Source organism: Homo sapiens, chromosome 15 (genome assembly GCF_000001405.40).
Source record: "Homo sapiens chromosome 15, GRCh38.p14 Primary Assembly".
NCBI lineage: Eukaryota > Metazoa > Chordata > Mammalia > Primates > Hominidae > Homo > Homo sapiens.
This window is the reverse complement of record NC_000015.10, coordinates 29,958,225-29,975,126: the sequence shown is the minus strand read 5'-3', so window position 1 is coordinate 29,975,126 and position 16,902 is coordinate 29,958,225. Positions and strand designations below refer to the sequence as shown.

Sequence of the window (16,902 nt, the reverse complement as noted above, 5' to 3'; positions counted from 1 at the left end):
CACCTCCTGGGCTTAAGTGATCTTCCCACCTCAGCCTGCCGAGTAGCTGGGACAACATAATTTAGTATACTCCTTATAATCACTTTTGTTTCTGCAAGGTTGGTAGTAATGTCCCCTCTTTCAGTCCAAATTTAGTAATTTGAGTTCTCTCTCTCACTTGGTCAGTCTAGCTGAAGGTTTGTCATCTTTATTGATATTTAATACTTCCTAAGAACCAACTTTTGGTTTTGCTGATTTTCTCTGTTTTTTTATTCATCATTTCATTTATTTCTACTCTTAATCCTTATTTCCTTCCTTTTCCTTGCTTTGAGTTTATTCTGCTCCTCTTTCTAGTTGCTCAAAGTGAAAGATTAGGTTATACATTTATTTAAGATCCATTTTACCAATCTCTGTCTTTTGATGGGAATGCTTAGTACATTTACCTTTAATGTAATTAGTGGTAAGGTAGAATTTATGTCTGCCATTTTGCTATTTGCTTTCTATATGTCTTATATCTTGTTTTGTTCTATTCTTCTGTTACTGTTTTCTTTTGTGCTATATATTCTCTACTGTATCATTTTAATTTCCTTGTTATTTCTTGTATAACATTTTGAAAAAATCATTTTCTTAATAGTCATCCCGGGGATTACAATTAGCTTCTTAACTTAAAATAACCTAAGTAGTATTAATACTAACTTAATTTCTTTTTTTTTTCCTTTTTTCAAGACAGGGTCTCCTGCTGTTGCCCAGCCTGGAGTACAATGGCACAATCATGGTTCACTGCAGCCTCCATCTCCCAGGCTCAAGAGATCCTCCTACCTCAGCCTCCCAAGTAGCTGGGACTACAGGCACGTGCCACCATGCCTGGCTAATTTTTTATTTATTTATTTATTTATTTATTTATTTATTTTTCTAGAGATGAAGTCCCACTGTGTTGCCCAGGCTGGTCTCGAATTCCTGGGCTCAAGCAATTCTCCCACCTAGGCCTCCCAAAGTGCTGGGATTATAGGCATGAGCTACCGTGCCTTGCCTTAATCTCTCTCTTTTTTTTTTTTTTTTTTTTGAGATGGAGTCTTGCTCTGTCGCCCAGGCTGGAGTGCAGTGGTGAGATCTCAGCTCACTGCAAGCTCCACCTCCCGGGTTCACACCATTCTCCTGCCTCAGCCTCCCAAGTAGCTGGGACTACAGGCACCCACCACCAGGCCTGGCTAATTTTTTGTATTTTTAGTAGAGACGCAGTTTCATTGTGTTAGCCAGGATGGTCTTGATCTCCTGACCTCATGACCCACCTGCCTTGGCCTCCCAAAGTCCTGGGATTACAAGCGTGAGCCACCGCACCCAGCCGACTTGCCTTAATTTCAATAGCATGCCAAAACTATGCTCCAGTATACATCCACTCTGTCCCTCTTATCTTTGTAATATGATTGTCAAACAAATTGTATGTTTATACATTAAAAGCCTATCGACACAGCTCATAGCCATTGTTTTATGCAGTTGTGTTTTAAATCAGAGTGTTCAGATTTTTTAATTTAAAATTTTTTAATTTTAAAAATTAAAATAATTTTTTATATTCAATTGTGTAGTTATCAGAATCACTGCTCTTATTTTCTTTATGTGGATTTAAATTTCTAATATTCTTTCATTTCAGCCTGCAAGGTTCCCTTTGGTAATAGTGCATGTCTGCTAGTGATGATTTCATTCACTTTCTGTTTACCTGGAATGCCATAATTTCTCTTTCATTTTTGAAGGATATTTTTCCTTCCACCCTTTAAATATGATGTCTTCCCACCACCTTCTGACCTTCATGATTTATGATGAGAAGTCAGCTATTAAGCTTATTGAGGATCCTTTGTGTGTGATGAGTTGTTTTTCTTTTGCTGCTTTCAAAATTTTCTCATCATCTTTGGCTTTCAACAGTTTGACTATTATGTGTCTAGGTCACTACTTCAAGTTTTTTGAGCTCCTTGGATGGCAGATTACTGTTTTTCATAAAGTCTGGGCAGGCTATTTCTTCAAATATTCTTTGTATTCCTTTCTCTCTATCCTTTCCTTCTGGGACTTTATGTGCATGTTAATATACACATAAACTCATGGTTTCCCATAAGTCTCTGAGAATTTGTTCATTTTCTTCATTCTTTTTTCTTTCTGTTTCTCAGCCTGGATAATTTCAATTGAGCTATCTCCAAGTTCACTGCCTTTTGCTTCTACCAGTTCATATATGTTGTTATTGAGCTCCTCTAGAGAATTTTTTCATCTCACTCTTTGTACTTTTCAACTCCAGAGTTTCTATTTTTTAAAACTTCTGTTTATTGATATTATCTATTTAGTAAGACATCATTCTCACATTTTCCTTTAGTTCATTAGACATGGTTTCCTTTAGTTCTGTGAACATATTCATAATGGCTGATTTAAAGTCTTTGTTCAGTAAGTCCAATGCCTGGGATTCCTCAGGAATGGTTTCTATTAACTGCTTTTTCCTGCATATAGGCCATAATTTTGTTTCTTTGGATGTTGTGAACTTTTTTGTTGAGATCTGGATGTTTTGAACAATGTAATGTGACAACTCTAGAAATCATATCCCCTCCTCTCCACTGAGGTTTGTTGCTGGTTTAGTGACTTTGCTGGACTAATCTATAAAGTCTGTATTGTTTGTTGTGTGCAGCCATTAGAGTCTCTGCTTGGATAGTTTAGTGCTTAGCTAATGATTGAATGGATATTTTCTTAAATGCTTTGAGCCAATAAATCCCCTAGCTTTTGCTGAGAGGCTGTGTGTGCTGGGGCATGCCTTGCACATTGTGGTAGGTAGTTTACGATTCTTCCTTAGCCTTTATTTTCTGCATTGTACTGAAACTCAAGGTCAGACAGAGGTGAGAGATTAGAGTCTTCTTAGGTGTTTTTTGGGTGTGTTCACAGTCCTGCATGTACATGCATGTCCTGCATGAAATTCTGGATTCCTAGGTATATGTCAGAGCTTTTCAAGGAACTATATGGACTCTTATTGCCCATTTTTTTTTAACTTTTTTGGTTAGCTTCTTGTTAGTACCAAACAGTTTCACCACCGCAGGTATCTGTGATGTTAAACAGTTGCAACTGATTGTTTTCAACAAATGCACCAGGGATAGGGCTGTTTGCACAGAGCAAGTTCTGAACCAGGTCAAATAAAGACAAACCCTGAGAATGGAACTTTTCAAGGTGCTTCCAGACAGGTCAAATAATGACAGTTTACTTAGTATGGGGCTTTTGAGAAGATCTAAACCTATTCTGCCCCATCCAGTGGCTGCTGGATGGTTTTCAAAGCTACTGTAGTTGTGAGGCTGTTGGCTTACTAGGCTACTGTAGAGCTGGAGAGAAGTAGTTGAGAATTGGGCAGATCAAAATGCCCTAAAGCTCACTGTACTCACCAAGATTCAGTAATTTTTCTTTAATAAATACTCCTTGGATTGTTGTGTTTGGTTAATTTCTGGAGTTGGTTTTAACTATTTTTGCCAGTGTACTCCCTTTTATGGAGAAGCAGATTTTCTACCACTCTAGAAGTGCTTCTCCCAGATTTATTTTTATTGCTTATTATCCTGAATAGGTCCCTCAGCTTCCAGGTGCCTAAATCTTTGAGCACAGTGTAGTATTTTCATCAAATATCTTACAATTATTATGACAAAGTAATGCAAAAGGCCAAACATATATTTGACATGGTGAGTATATAAAAACAGGCCTTGATGTTTCTTAAAAGTTCTGCTCCAAGGATGTCCTCTCCCCAGGGGAGTATACAACCGAAGTGTCAAAAACCTGCCAATTCCTCATTTTATGTGAGAGCTAAAATTTCTGGGTAAATGAAAGTGAAATATTTAGACCTGCTTTCCTACCTAAGTGACTGTGAAATCATGTTGGGAACCCAAACCCCAGGAAGATTGTGTTGTTTTAATCTTATGTGCTAATTAATTTGAAGATGAAGTATTTAAATAGAGGTGCAGGAGGGATAAACTGTGGAGGGAGGGGGTTAACACTTCTGCCTGGTGGATGCATAGGTGCTTATTATTGGTACTCTTCATATATACTATATATACACACATATATATAGTATGCATATATCCAAATAGGCATCCTTTGCTTTGCAGGTTCAGATATGACTGATGTCAGCTATTTAGTTAAATAACACCAGTATCTCAACAATATGGTTGAAATTTTAGTTACTGGATGGGGCATGGTGGCTCATGCCTATAATTGCAGCACTTTGAGAGGCTGAGGTGGGAGGATCGCTTGAGCCCAGGAGTTTGAGACTAGCCTGGGCAACATAGTGAGATCCCGTCTCTTCAAAAAATAAAAATACAAAAATTAGCCAGGCTTAGTGGTGTATGCCTGTAGTTCCAGCTACTTGGGAGGCCCAGGTGGGAAGATCGCTTGAGCCTGGGAGGTAGAGGCTCTAGTGAGCCATGATTGTGCCACTGCACTGCAGCCTGGGCAACAGCATGAGATCCTGTCTCAAAAACAAAACAAAGCAAAAACAAAAAAAACAAATTTTAGTTATCATGCTATTTTAGCTGTGAACAAACATAGTACAATCTTTGCTTCTAGCTCTTTAGTCCACAAAACCCTATGTAAACAATAGATGTCCATAACAACCAGTGACCAATCACAGCAGTTCTTTCAAAATCTGTCAGTGACGGGTCATTGCACTGTTAGTTTAGGCACTGGCAGCAAAGTGTGCAATTGTGTTGCTTCCTTTTCTCCAAGTGTTAAACTCACACAGCATTGTATAAAAATGAATAATTGAAAGGGAATTGGTCAACAAAGATGAAAGTGCAGCAAAGAAATAAAAAAATGGTAAAGATGGAATTGAAGTGAAATTCAAATTGAATGCAAATGAAGTACTATAGAAGAAATAGACAACTGTGGGAGTGCTGACTTTCCAGAGACTAGATATGCAGTCAGTGAAACTTACTCAAAGCACACTGAATGAGGAAAATGGCTGTGACTAAAAGGATGAGGATGTCCCGGAGGAAATGAGGTCCACAAAAACATTTTACATTAAAGGAACTCTCTGAGACATTGCATGGCATTGGAAGTGCAAAGGATAAAATACTTGCGTGTAATCCAAATGTGATGTTTTGCTAAAGTACAGAAAAGGTGGTATATAAGAGTTACACTAGAAGAAGACAAGCACTGTTCAAGTTATTCTTAATAAGCTTTATTTTTACAAACACAAAAAATACTTTAATTCTCAATGTTTGAATGTTTTAAACTGATTTTTTTTCATTTCCATATACAGGGTATTTGTAACCATCAGTTAAGCGAGTTTTGAATGGTTCTTTTGTTGTTGTTTGTTCTTTCCAAGACAAGGACTTGCTCTGTCACCCAGGCTGGAGTGCTGTGGTGCGACCTTGGCTCACTGCAACCTCGGCTTCCGGGGCTCAAGTGATTCTCCCCCCTCATTCTCCTGAGAAGCTGGGACTACAGGTGCACACCACCACGCCTGGCTAATTTTTTTTTTTTATTTTGTAGAGACCGGGTCTCACTGTGTTGCCCAGGGCTGGTCTCGAACTCCTGGGCTCATGCCATCTTCCCGTCTGGGCCTCCCAAAGTGCTGGGATTACAGGCGTGAGCCACCGTGCCCGGACTGCTTTGAATGTTTTGAGAAAAACTGTTTAAAGTCGTGAAACAATCTTAATTTTTCCCAGTGATTATTAAGGTAGTTTTGCATGGTTCAGTCATTTCCAGCGTCCAGAATTACCGTGCAAGCGAGGACTGCATGCGCGTGTAGTACGTATTCGCCATATGCATTATATGTCAATGTGAAGTCAACCACTTTGGGATAGAACACATCAATTGATAGTTACAAACCAACAGGCAGCGTCTCGTTTTTGTTGTTGTTGTTGTTTGTTTGTTTGTTTTAATCCGCGCTGGAAGTGTGCTGTTGGGATTCTCTTTGGGTGCTAACGGTTGAGAAGGAGCTCCTGCCAGCCGCTGAAAACACCGCGGCACGCGGGCGCAGGGCCTGGGCAGGGCGGCCGGCGCGCAGGTGGCCCGGCCTCGCCCAGCGGCTCCGGAGCGGGGGCCAAGCCAGCCCGGCCTCCCGCGAGACCCGCACCCGCCCACCGGAGCGCGCCGCCGGGCCACGGCCTGCAGGGGTGGAAGGGGCGGCGGCGGCGGGAGCTGCGGGCCACGCACGGCGGCGGCGGCGGGAGCGGCCGGGCACGCACGGCGACGGCGGCGGCGGGAGCGGGAGCCCGGGCCACGCACGGCCGCAGCTGCGGGTGCGGCGGGCGCGGGAGCGGTGGGAGCTGTGGTGGCGGCGGATGGCCCAGAGCTGATCTATGCGGCGCCTGGAGGGGCTGTGTCTGCGGCGGCGGCGGAGGCGGCGGGGCCCTGCCCGCGAGCGGAGCGGGGACAAGATGAAGTACCAGAAATACCTGACGGTGCTGCAGATGGCCATCGGCGTCACCCCCTCCAACCGCGGCAGCCTCCTGCCGCTCAAGAGGAAGCTGTGGTGAGGCGGCCGCGCGGGCGCGGAGCCCCAGCCGGGCTAGGCGCGGAGCGGGGCGGGGGCCGGAGTGGGAGAGCGAGCGGCGGCCGGGGCGGTCGGGCGGGGGGCGAGGCCGCGACTGTCGGGCCCGACGGGACGCGGGGCGCGCCGCGCGGGGCGCAGCAGCCAAGGCCGAGCCCAGGGCCGAGCGCCGCCTTGTACCGCGTGCCCGCTGACTGGTTTCGCCGAGACCCTCGCTGTGCCCGCGGCGCGTAGGGCGACGGGGAGCGGCCGGGACGCCTGGCACCCGCACCCGGGCGTCGGCCTCCCGCCTCTGTCTGTCCTTTCTGCTCCATTACGGCGGGTTCTGGCTCAGAATTTCCAGCCAGGCTCTCGCGGAGACAGCAGAAGAATTCATTGGTATCACGGTGTGCGTTTTCAGTTATTTTCCAAAAATTCGTCTGCTGCTGAGTGCATAGTAGAGGACGAGCAAGGCAAGGGGAATAAGTTGGGAAATTATTATTGCATTGTCAGGGACTGTATTCCACCTGCATGCGTTCCAGTTCCTCCGACCTGGAAACTGTTACTGAGGTAATGAGGAAAAAACATCCTTAAAGAAAAATGTCTGGACCTTACTGGTTTACGTTGCTGATTATCTACAGGATTGTATATTGCATTTTATTAATAATAATCCGTAATCCATGCGGAATCCCAGGAGCCACCTAGGTATGCCACTGGCTTGAGATTTAGGATTAAGATTCTTTTGCAAAAGAAATAACCTAGTAAAGGGAAGATGACTACAGAAAAAAGATGCCAGTTATGGCATTGGTCATTTTAATTTTAAAATTAGTGGTCAGTGTAGTTCATAAAGGTTTTATTCAATTCAATTGAGCACAGTCTAATTTAATCCTAAGGTTGTAGAGAAAGGAGATGAGGCTGCTTTTAGGTAATGAGGAAAGTAATTCCTGCTCTATAAGACAGTGTGAAAGAGTGATCCTTACCAAAAAAGTATATAGCGTGATCAGCCAAGAAAAAGATGGGTTAAGAAAAAGAATCCTAAAAGTGGAGAATTTTGAAGGTAAGACAAATATGGACAGCAAAGTTCAGAATTCAGTTGTGCCACTTACTGTGTGACCTTAAGTTCCTGGAGTGTCTGTTTCTTCCTCTGTAAAGTGAGAATCTTGTTATCTCCCTCATGGGGATATACACAGATCAACTCTGATAATGAATACAAAGGTGTCTACCACTGTGCTTGGCTTAATAATAGGTGCTTAGTAAATGTTAGTGTCTTTCTGCCCCCACCAGTTTGGTTTTTTTTTTTTAAATAAATTTATTCTGCAAAAGATACTTTAATGTGCCGGGTATAGTGGCTCACACCTGTAATCCCAGCACTATGGGAGGTCGAGGCAGGCGTATCGCCTGAGGTCTGGAGTTCAAGACCAGCCTGACCAACATGGTGAAACCCCATCTCTACTAAATAAACAAACAAATAAACCAAAAAAATACAAAATTACCCGGGCATGGTGGTGTGTGGCTGTAATCTCAGCTACTTGGGAGGCTGAGGCAGGAGAATCGCTTGAACCCGGGAGGCAGAGGTTGCAGTGAGCCAAGGTCATGCCACTGCACTCCAGCCTGGGCGAGAGTGAGACTCCTATTTCAAAAAAAAAAAAAAGATATTTTAATGTGATGAACAGCAAGTGACAACACTTAGAAGACAAGGTTAGCCACAGTTCAATTAAAACATGTCCGTGGGAGATGTTAGCAAATAAATGAAGACTGTCACTACAGTGAAGGAAGAAGGGGTAACATTTGAAGATCGCTTCTCAGATTGATGGTATGTGGGGGTATGGGAAATATCAGCACCAGCAGTCATATCTCCCATTTTGCTTTTCTCCTGAGCCCTTATCAATAACTAACACATTGTTTATTTTACTTATTTTTCATATATATTCCCCTTCTCCTCACTAAAATGTAAGTTGCATGAGGGAGGGCTTTTGTTTGTTTCATCCATTACTGTAAAACCCTGCAACGGATGTCTGGTACAAATGTACCAGAAAGCTTCTCAATAAATATTTGTTGAATAAATGGATTCTTAATAATTTGTGATTGGGAAATAATATGTTAGGAAATCTGTTTTCTTAATGTTCAGTTTAAAATTATTTATTATTTATTTATTTATTTATTTATTTTGAAACAGTTTTGCTCTTCTTGCCCAGGCTGGAGTGCAATGGCAGATCTCGGCTCATTGCAACCTCCACTCCAGGATTCAAGTGATTCTCCTGCCTCAGCCTCCTGAGTAGCTGGGATTACAGGCGCCTACCACCACACCCGGCTAATATTTTGTATTTTTAGTACAGATGGGGCATTACCATGTTGGTCAGGCTCGTCTCAAACTCCTGACGTTAGGTGATCCACCTGCCTTGGCCTTCCAAAGTGCTGGGATTACAGGTGTGAGCCACTGCGCGCGGGCCAGTTTAAAAATCAAGATGTGGGAATAATATTTGAGGAATTATTAGACATCAATATTAGCAGCATTTGGTCACAAAGTTAGGAAACTATATTTATTATTTTCCATCATTGGGGTTCTGCTTCTGAAAACACATTCTCTAAACACAGAATTTCTGAAGAGAGGACACAAGGAAATAAAATCCAGGTAACTTTTATATCCAAGCAATTCATGTTTGAGGTAGGCAGTGAGTTAGGGCCAGGGATAAAAACCATCTTACTAAGAGGCGGCCTGGAAAAGGCAAGAGGCTTTTGTTGAGCTTTTCCATGATCTTAGATAATCATTTCTTAATTTCCACTCATTGTTAACTTGCAAACATTCATCTGATTCTACAGCGGCAAAGGGAAGGGTATGCTCTATGAAGACTCTGGAGTGAGTGGCTCTTTTAAACAGAGATGTAGAATACTTCATATTCTTAAGTTGGAGAACATTGTGCCGCCAGATTTATTTTTCTCTTATACGCTTTGGATTTATTTTTTAGATAATGTTTCATTTTGCTAGTTTCATAGCAACCGCACATGGAGCATTGGAGACATAAGGCACCATCATATGTCTAGAAGATAGTAGGATGTAGGTCCTGACTCTAGAGTGGTGGGTGGAAACCAATAGCAGACATCAACAATGCTTGTAAGACTTTGGAATGCACCAGCTTGTGCCTGTTTACAAATGTGAGGGCCTGACGTGGTGGCTCATACCTGTAATCTCAGCACTGTGAGAGACCAAGATGGGTGGACCACTTGAGGTCAGGAGGTCGATACCAGCCTGGTCAATATGGTGAAACCCTGTCTCTACTAAAAATATATAAAAATTAGCCAGGCATGGTGGTGTGTGCCTGTAATTCCAGCTACTCAAGAGGCTGAGGCAGGAGAATCGCTTGAACCTAGGAGGCGGAGGTTGCAGTGAGCCGAGATTGTACCATTGCACTCCAGCCTGGGTGACAGAGCAAGACTCCATCTCAAAATAAATAAATAAATAAATAAATAAATAAATAAATAAATGTGAGGATGTATTATGAAAACTGGTCAAGGCATATGTGAAGATTTATATGAAGATATTTATATATCTGTGTTTCTCTGTCTTTACTGCAGTCTATATGGAAAGGCTTCTGCCAGTGTAAAGGGCAGGGTTGCATGCCTTATTCCCACACTTCCATCTCGCTTGGGCATTTGTGCCTGTCAGTTTTTCTTTGTGCAATATCTCCTGTCTTTCTGATTGGCTCTACAAATCTCGTAAGGAGAATTATATTTGCAGACCAACTTAGGTGGAAACTAAAGCAGACAGTCAGACCCACATCAGTGGAGCCTGTAGGAACTCTCTTTTCCTCATCCCCTTCTTCAAGAAATTTAGAAAGCAGGGGCGTTTGCAGTGTTTGGTTCTGAATCATTACTTAGGAACACAGAACAAAGCCTGGTTACCTCTACCTGAGGTAGGTATAAGTTTGCAGAGCCTGCTGGCTTCCTTTGGGGGACACCCTGGAATTGCCAGCGATGAAAAGAAGCAGTGGGGCTTTGTGTTTTCAGGGGCTGCTGTAACAGATCACATAAACTTGGTGGCTGAAAACAGCAGAAATTTATTTTCTGAGTTATGGAGGCTAGAAGTCCAAAATCAAGGTGTTGGCAGGGTCACACTCCCTCAAATGCTGTAGGGGAGGATCCTTCCTTGCCTCTTTCGAACATTCTTTGTGGCTGCATCAATCCATTCTCTGCTTCTGTCTTCACATGACCTTCTCTGTGTCTCTGTGTCTCTGTGTCTTCTCCTGTCTCTCTTTTTTTAAAAGACTAAAACTTTTAATTTTTAATTTATTTCAAATTATAAACTAGGAACTCATAAAATAAATGCTCCATTTTATAATATGATGTATACATATGCAGACAGATTCTTCTGCAGGCCATATTAGAATCTCCACTGCAACTAAAACAGCTCTCCTCTGACATCCTTGAGTCTTGCTTCCTTATTCCTCTGTCTCTTATAAGGACACTTGTCATTGGATTTAGGGCCCACCTGGATGATCCAGGATGATCTCATCTGGAGATCTTTAATTACATCAGCAAAGACTTTGTTTCTAAACATGGTAACATTCTAAGTAAGGTGACATTTATGCTGCTGTTCTGCAGGTATGAGGCACAAATAATAGTTACTCCTTTTTAATGTAAAATGTGAAAAATATTTTCATAATTTATTGCTATCAGCAGTCTTGAGTTTTGCACTAAGTGCTTTAAGAGTATTTACAGTGGGCTGGGCACAGTGGCTCACACCTGTAATCCCAACACTTTGGAAGGCTGAGGCGGGCAGATTACAAGGTCAAGAGATCGAGACCATCCTGGCCAACATGGTGAAACCCTGTCTCTACTAAAAATACAAAAATTAGCTGGGCGTGATGGCGCGTACCTGTAGTCCCAGCTGCTCGGGAGGCTGAGACAGAAGAATCGCTTGAACCCAGGAGGTGGAGGTTGCAGTGAGCCGAGATCATGCCACTGCACCCCAGCCTGGCAACAGAGCGAGACTCAGTCTCAAAAAGAAAAAAGTATTTACAGTGATCTTAGGGAGAAAAGGGGGTGTGATTTCATTTTCTTTATACTCTAAAAACATTTCCCCAGTTATTTGATTCAGTGATTATTTAAGGCCATGCACTATCAGTATATTCATTCAAGTAGTCATCTAATAATCAGATTCCAAAAACAATAAGAGTTGCTATTCATTGAGCTATTACTTGCTGCACTCTATATTAGTGCTTTCCAAGTATCTTGTCATTATTTAACTTATAGCACCCCATGAGGCTGTATTTTCTCGGTTTTACAAATTAGGTCATTGACTTGCTCAGACTCATACAATTGATCAAGGTTCAAAAGACAATTGATCAGTGAGATGACAGTCTAGAAGGAGAGAATAACTGAAAACAGATACTAAAATGACTGGTAATTGCCCGATAGAAGGTTGTTTCTCCAAGGGTGGTCCCCCGGCCCACTCATGGATCACTGAGGTCCTCCTGTTGGGACGTGAAGGGCTCCAATACCCAAGTCCTTTCATAATTTTTTCTTTTTTTGAGACGAAGTTTCACTCTTGTCACCCAGGCTGGAGTGCAATGGCGCGATCTCAGCTCACTGCAACCTCCGCCTCCCGGGTGCAAGTGATTCTTCTGCCTCAGCCTCCTAAGTAGCTGGGATTACAGGTGCCCACCACCACACCTGGCTAATTTTTTATATTTTTAGTAGAGACGGGGTTTCACCATGTTGGCCAGGCTGGTCTCAAACTCCTGACCTTCAGGTGATCCACCCACCTTGGCCTCCCAAAGTGCTGGGATAACAGGCGTGAGCCACTGTGCCCAGCCCACAATTTTTTAAATGACCTAATTATTGGCAGTTGTGCACATTATTTTTTCTAAGTTCATCAGATGACTATTTACTGTTAACCTATTACATGAGTTATTAAGCTTTCTGAAGTCCAATGCTTATAAACAAAAATTAGCATTTTACTAGCTTTTCCTGAAGTGTCCTTCAGAAGGATTTAGCATCCTTTTAAAGCCAGCTGCCCTTCTGTACTTAGCAGTGTCTCACAGCTCCTTGGCTCACACTGTTGTTTGGAATTCCCCTCAAGTGGAGGAAGGGGACAGCTTTGCTGTCACTCATTAGCCTTCTCTTGAGTTGGCTGTGGCTGTCAGTTGCTGGTATCTTAAAACAAATATCTTGTAGAAGGATTATTAGATGTTACTTTGTTGATAGATTTGTCCTTGTGTGACTGCTTTGTTTTTGCCATCTTGATTATTTTTGCCCGATTCTGTGTTATTATTGAGTTCTTTTCCACTGGAAATTAGAAATGGGTGGTGTAGATGAGCTTGGGAGTTGTTTGTCTTAGAATGGTCAGAAATATTTGTAGCCAAAGCTCCTGAGTTGGAAACAAAAGGCATGAATATCTGAGGCTTCCTGGGAACATTGGGCTTTCAAGGATGGGGAGTAGAAAAGCATTCCAGCAGAGGGAAGGGTGTGGGAGGGATGGTTGCAGAATGTCAAGAAGTTGTGCTGCACTGTGGTGCAAGTATTTTGGACTAGTGAAAATTTGTATCTCTGTCAGATTTAAATGACTTTGCTAAGGACCGAGTCCCATGTCAAAGATGTAGCAGTCCACATTTGGCCTGTAGCCAGCAGAGCGCCCAACAGAGCTTTGTAGGTGTGACATAATGGGTGGAGTTGGATTGGTGTATATCTTTCTCCTGCATGTCCTTGACCAGGGAAGATACATTCAAGGAACAAGAACTAAATGTTAACAGTTTTCTGGGTTGTTAATAATATTGGGGCAGGTGCTGGCTATCACCCAAATGAGGGTCTGTCTAGGAAGCTGTGCTGGAGCAGGCCACACTGGTCTGCAAGCCTCTGAGGGGATGCTTCCTCTCTTACCTCGGGAGCTATGATGGTGGAGGCTGCAGTGCAGACCAGACCTGTTCTAGCAGTGTCAGGTGAAGAGAAGGGAAATGGGCAGATCAAGTGGGGGACTGCCTCCAGGGGCCAGGCCTGTGGTCTGTGTTCATCCGGTAGGGGTAGGAAGTGGAACGAGAGGGTGGGCCCTGGACTTCAGCGTTTGATGCATATCAGCCATGCCCACAAGTAAAGTACACTCTCACAAGGGAAGTTACAAAGCAGGTGGAGAGAGGCAGAAGTTTTCTCCCCACCTTCCCTCTAGGGAGGATAAAATGGAATTAAGAATTAGGAAACTACTCGGGAGGCTGAGGCAGGAGAATGGCGTGAACCCGGGAAGCGGAGCTTGCAGTGAGCCGAGATTGCGCCACTGCAGTCCGCAGTCCGGCCTGGGCGACAGAGCGAGACTCCGTCTCAAAAAAAAAAAAAAAAAAAAAAAAAGAATTAGGAAAAGTAAAACCTCATTGTAAGCTAAATATTGATTTCCCTACATCAGTTCCCAACTTTATTTCCCTGTCATAAAGGGCCATTCCCCTAAATATGCGGGGAATAATCCCTGAAGTCTGAGTTACTCAGCTCAGATCTGCACCATCAGGGCTGGGGAAGAGTAGTACCAGGGGATTAAAAGAATTTATATTCCATGTCAAATGGAACTGTCCTTGGTGGACTCTTTGTATAGCTCTTCTCACCTGAGTTACAGGTACGCAGCTGTGTTCTTGTGAGTGTCCAGAAAACAATGAAACACACACGCCCCTCCCCAAGACAAATATTTTTAAAGACAGTAATAAACAAAAGAGAAGCAACATCTAAAATTCACCTATTCCTACAAGAGCACTTCTACTTACACCAGAGTTAATATTCTGCATTATTATCTAGATCAGTGTTTTTTCTTTTCTTTATTCCACACCAAACAAAGGGGGGTCATTATTGAGCCATATGCCTTTTAACAGTTTACCTCAGCTTCCCAAAGATCTGGTCAAAGCTTTAAAGTTCCTGAAGTTACTCTGTAGAAGCCTGGTTAAATTCTTAGACAAGGTACCATCTTCCTGTGGAGTCTGTGGGCAGGGTAGGTCCAGAGCTGATTTTCACCTGGTATACACCACTTTAGCGCTACTGATTATTACTTTTTTTTTTTTTTTTGAGACATGGTCTCACTCCATTGCCCAGACTGGAGTGCAGTGGTATGATCACCATTCGCTGCAACCTCGACGTCCTGGCCTTAGGTGATCTTCCCACCTCAGAGTCCCAAGTAGTTGGGACCCATAGGCATGTGCAATCCCGCCTGGCGAGTTTTTTTGTATTTTTTGTAGAGACGGGATCTCTCTATGTTGCCCAAGCTGGTCTCAAACTTCTGGGCTCAAGAGATCCTCATGTCTCGGCCTCCCAAAGTGCTGATATTACAGCATGTTTTTATTATGATCCTGGTAGGGAGGGCAGTGGATCTATTCTTCTAGTTTTGTTTATGATCATTTTATTTTTCTGTTTTACTTTGTCACTGGATTTAGTATTACATTGAGTTAACCCTGGTAAATTTCTTGACTATCTGCCATTTATAAAATTTGGTAGATATAAATTTTTATTACAGGCTCTTTTAGGCTTCTAGATTTGGCATAAAGGGAGAATAGTGATGCCTTTCTAAGTCAGATGAGAGAAAAACTTACGAAGAACACTAGACAGATTTATTTATTTATATTAAATGTTTGCATTAATTTTCTAAAATATGATCACACCTACCAGCGCTATCAAAATAAAGTGAGAGAGAAATGAGAAGTTGATTTGTATTTAGTTTTATAACTCTATTTTTCTTTCCCATATGTCCTCTTTTGAATAAAGTTCATTGTTTTCATGGAAGCTTTTACCCTGTGGAGAAGAGAACAAAGCTGTACAATGTTTCTTTTTATCCTAAGAATCATGAAAGTGGCATCAGTAAAATTTTACTTTGGGAGGCCAATTGAAAGGAAGACGCCCTAGAAATTCAATGAAAGAAGAAAATTAATTTTTAAAGCTACGACAAAATTAATAATAATCTGAGTAAACAATAAAGAATGTCATCAGTGGACCCGTAATTTTGAGGACTCTTTGAAATGTAACTAGTAGGTAGGGATAGATCTGTTGAGAGAAAACGTTACAGTTGTCCGGAGCACTGGGGTCAGAGAGGCAGGGCTGTCCTAGAGGTAGCTACTGACTTGCAAGAGAAGCTGCCTCACAGACCTGGCAGCGTATCCCATCTCTCTGCCAGAGTTCCTGAAGGCAGGCCACAGTAGTCGCAGTGGGGAAATGGATGTTTTCCAATACAAATGTAAGTAGACATTAAAAATCACCAAACAATTCAAGAAAGCCAGTACCCAGAGAATTACCAAATTAAAACACAGAACTAACTCCTGAGAAAATAGAAAAACATTAGATGGTGATTTTCAGAAGAAAAAAAGGTTATTTTTGGAAAGATGCATGAGAATATTGCATTAATTAAAAAAATACTAGATACAGGCCAGGCGTGGTAGCTCACACCTGTAATCCCAGCACTTTGGAAGGCTGATGGTGGGCAGATCACGAGGTCAGGAGATGGAGACCATCCTGGCTAACATGGTGAAACCCCGTCTCTACTAAAAATACAGAAAATTAGTCAGGTGTGGTGATGAGCGCCTGTAGTCCCAGCTGCCCGGGAGGCTGAGGCAGGAGAATGGCGTGAACCCAGGAGACGGAGCTTGCAGTGAGGTGAGATCGCGCCGCTGCACTCCAGCCTGGGAGGCACAGCGAGACTCCGACTCAAAAAAAAACAAAAAAAAAAAACTAGCTACTTTAGAAATTTAGAATTTACTGATTCATAGAAAAGACAATGGCTGAATTCACAAAACTAAAAAAGCAAGTTTGCAATCTGGAGAAGTAAGTTAAAGAATCACAAAAGAGCAAAGAGATCAAAAGTATGAACAAGAAGCCAGGAAACCTGAACACTATTTCTAAGGGAAGGTGGGGCTTTTTGTAGGGATGTGGAGTTGCTGGGAAAGAGGGGGAATGAAGACGTGCTAATGCCACTTCTTGTTTAGGAGGAGGTGAGCATACTCATGAGCCCTAGGTGTTGATAGGAAAATATGAGTTTATGTGTGTGTGTGTGTACATATACGTGTGTGATGGATACATATATAAAGATGTTAATGTACATGTGTGTATATAGCTAACTAGAGTTAGAGTTTCCCTAATAAGATGTATAACTTTCAAACTACTGAATGGAAAGGGAAAAAGGTCTTAGGGTGGTTGAGGACAAAGTAAACTCAATCATATTAATAAGGCAGAAACTTAAGAAGAAAGCATTAAACACAAAACAAGATGGCAGGAATAGATCTAAACATATGAGTAAAAACAATAAATTTGAATGGATTAAGTTTCTCTTAAAAGACATTAACCCTCAGATTGGGTAAAGAAAGAAAAAAATCCAGCTACATGCTACTTATCCAGAGTTAAAGGTACAACTTAAAAAAAAAAAAAACTAAAAAGAGAGAGAGACTTCGAACACTTGAAAATACAAACACAAGATAAATCAGGAAATGGTTAAT

The 16,902-nt window shown here is 42.3% G+C and overlaps 1 protein-coding gene across 11 annotated transcripts in view; it reads left to right on the top strand.

Moving 5' to 3' along the window:
* Window positions 1-6,077: 6,077 nt before the first annotated feature.
* Window positions 6,078-16,902, top strand: part of TJP1 (tight junction protein 1) — a 269,683-nt gene continuing 258,858 nt past the window's right edge. For all 11 annotated transcript variants that reach the window (XM_005254620.4, XM_047432984.1, XM_005254619.4 and 8 more), the window contains exon 1: window positions 6,078-6,460. In XM_005254620.4, coding sequence (XP_005254677.2) covers window positions 6,288-6,460 — 173 coding nt within the window. In that variant the 5' untranslated portion in view covers window positions 6,078-6,287. The remainder of the gene's footprint in view (window positions 6,461-16,902) is intronic.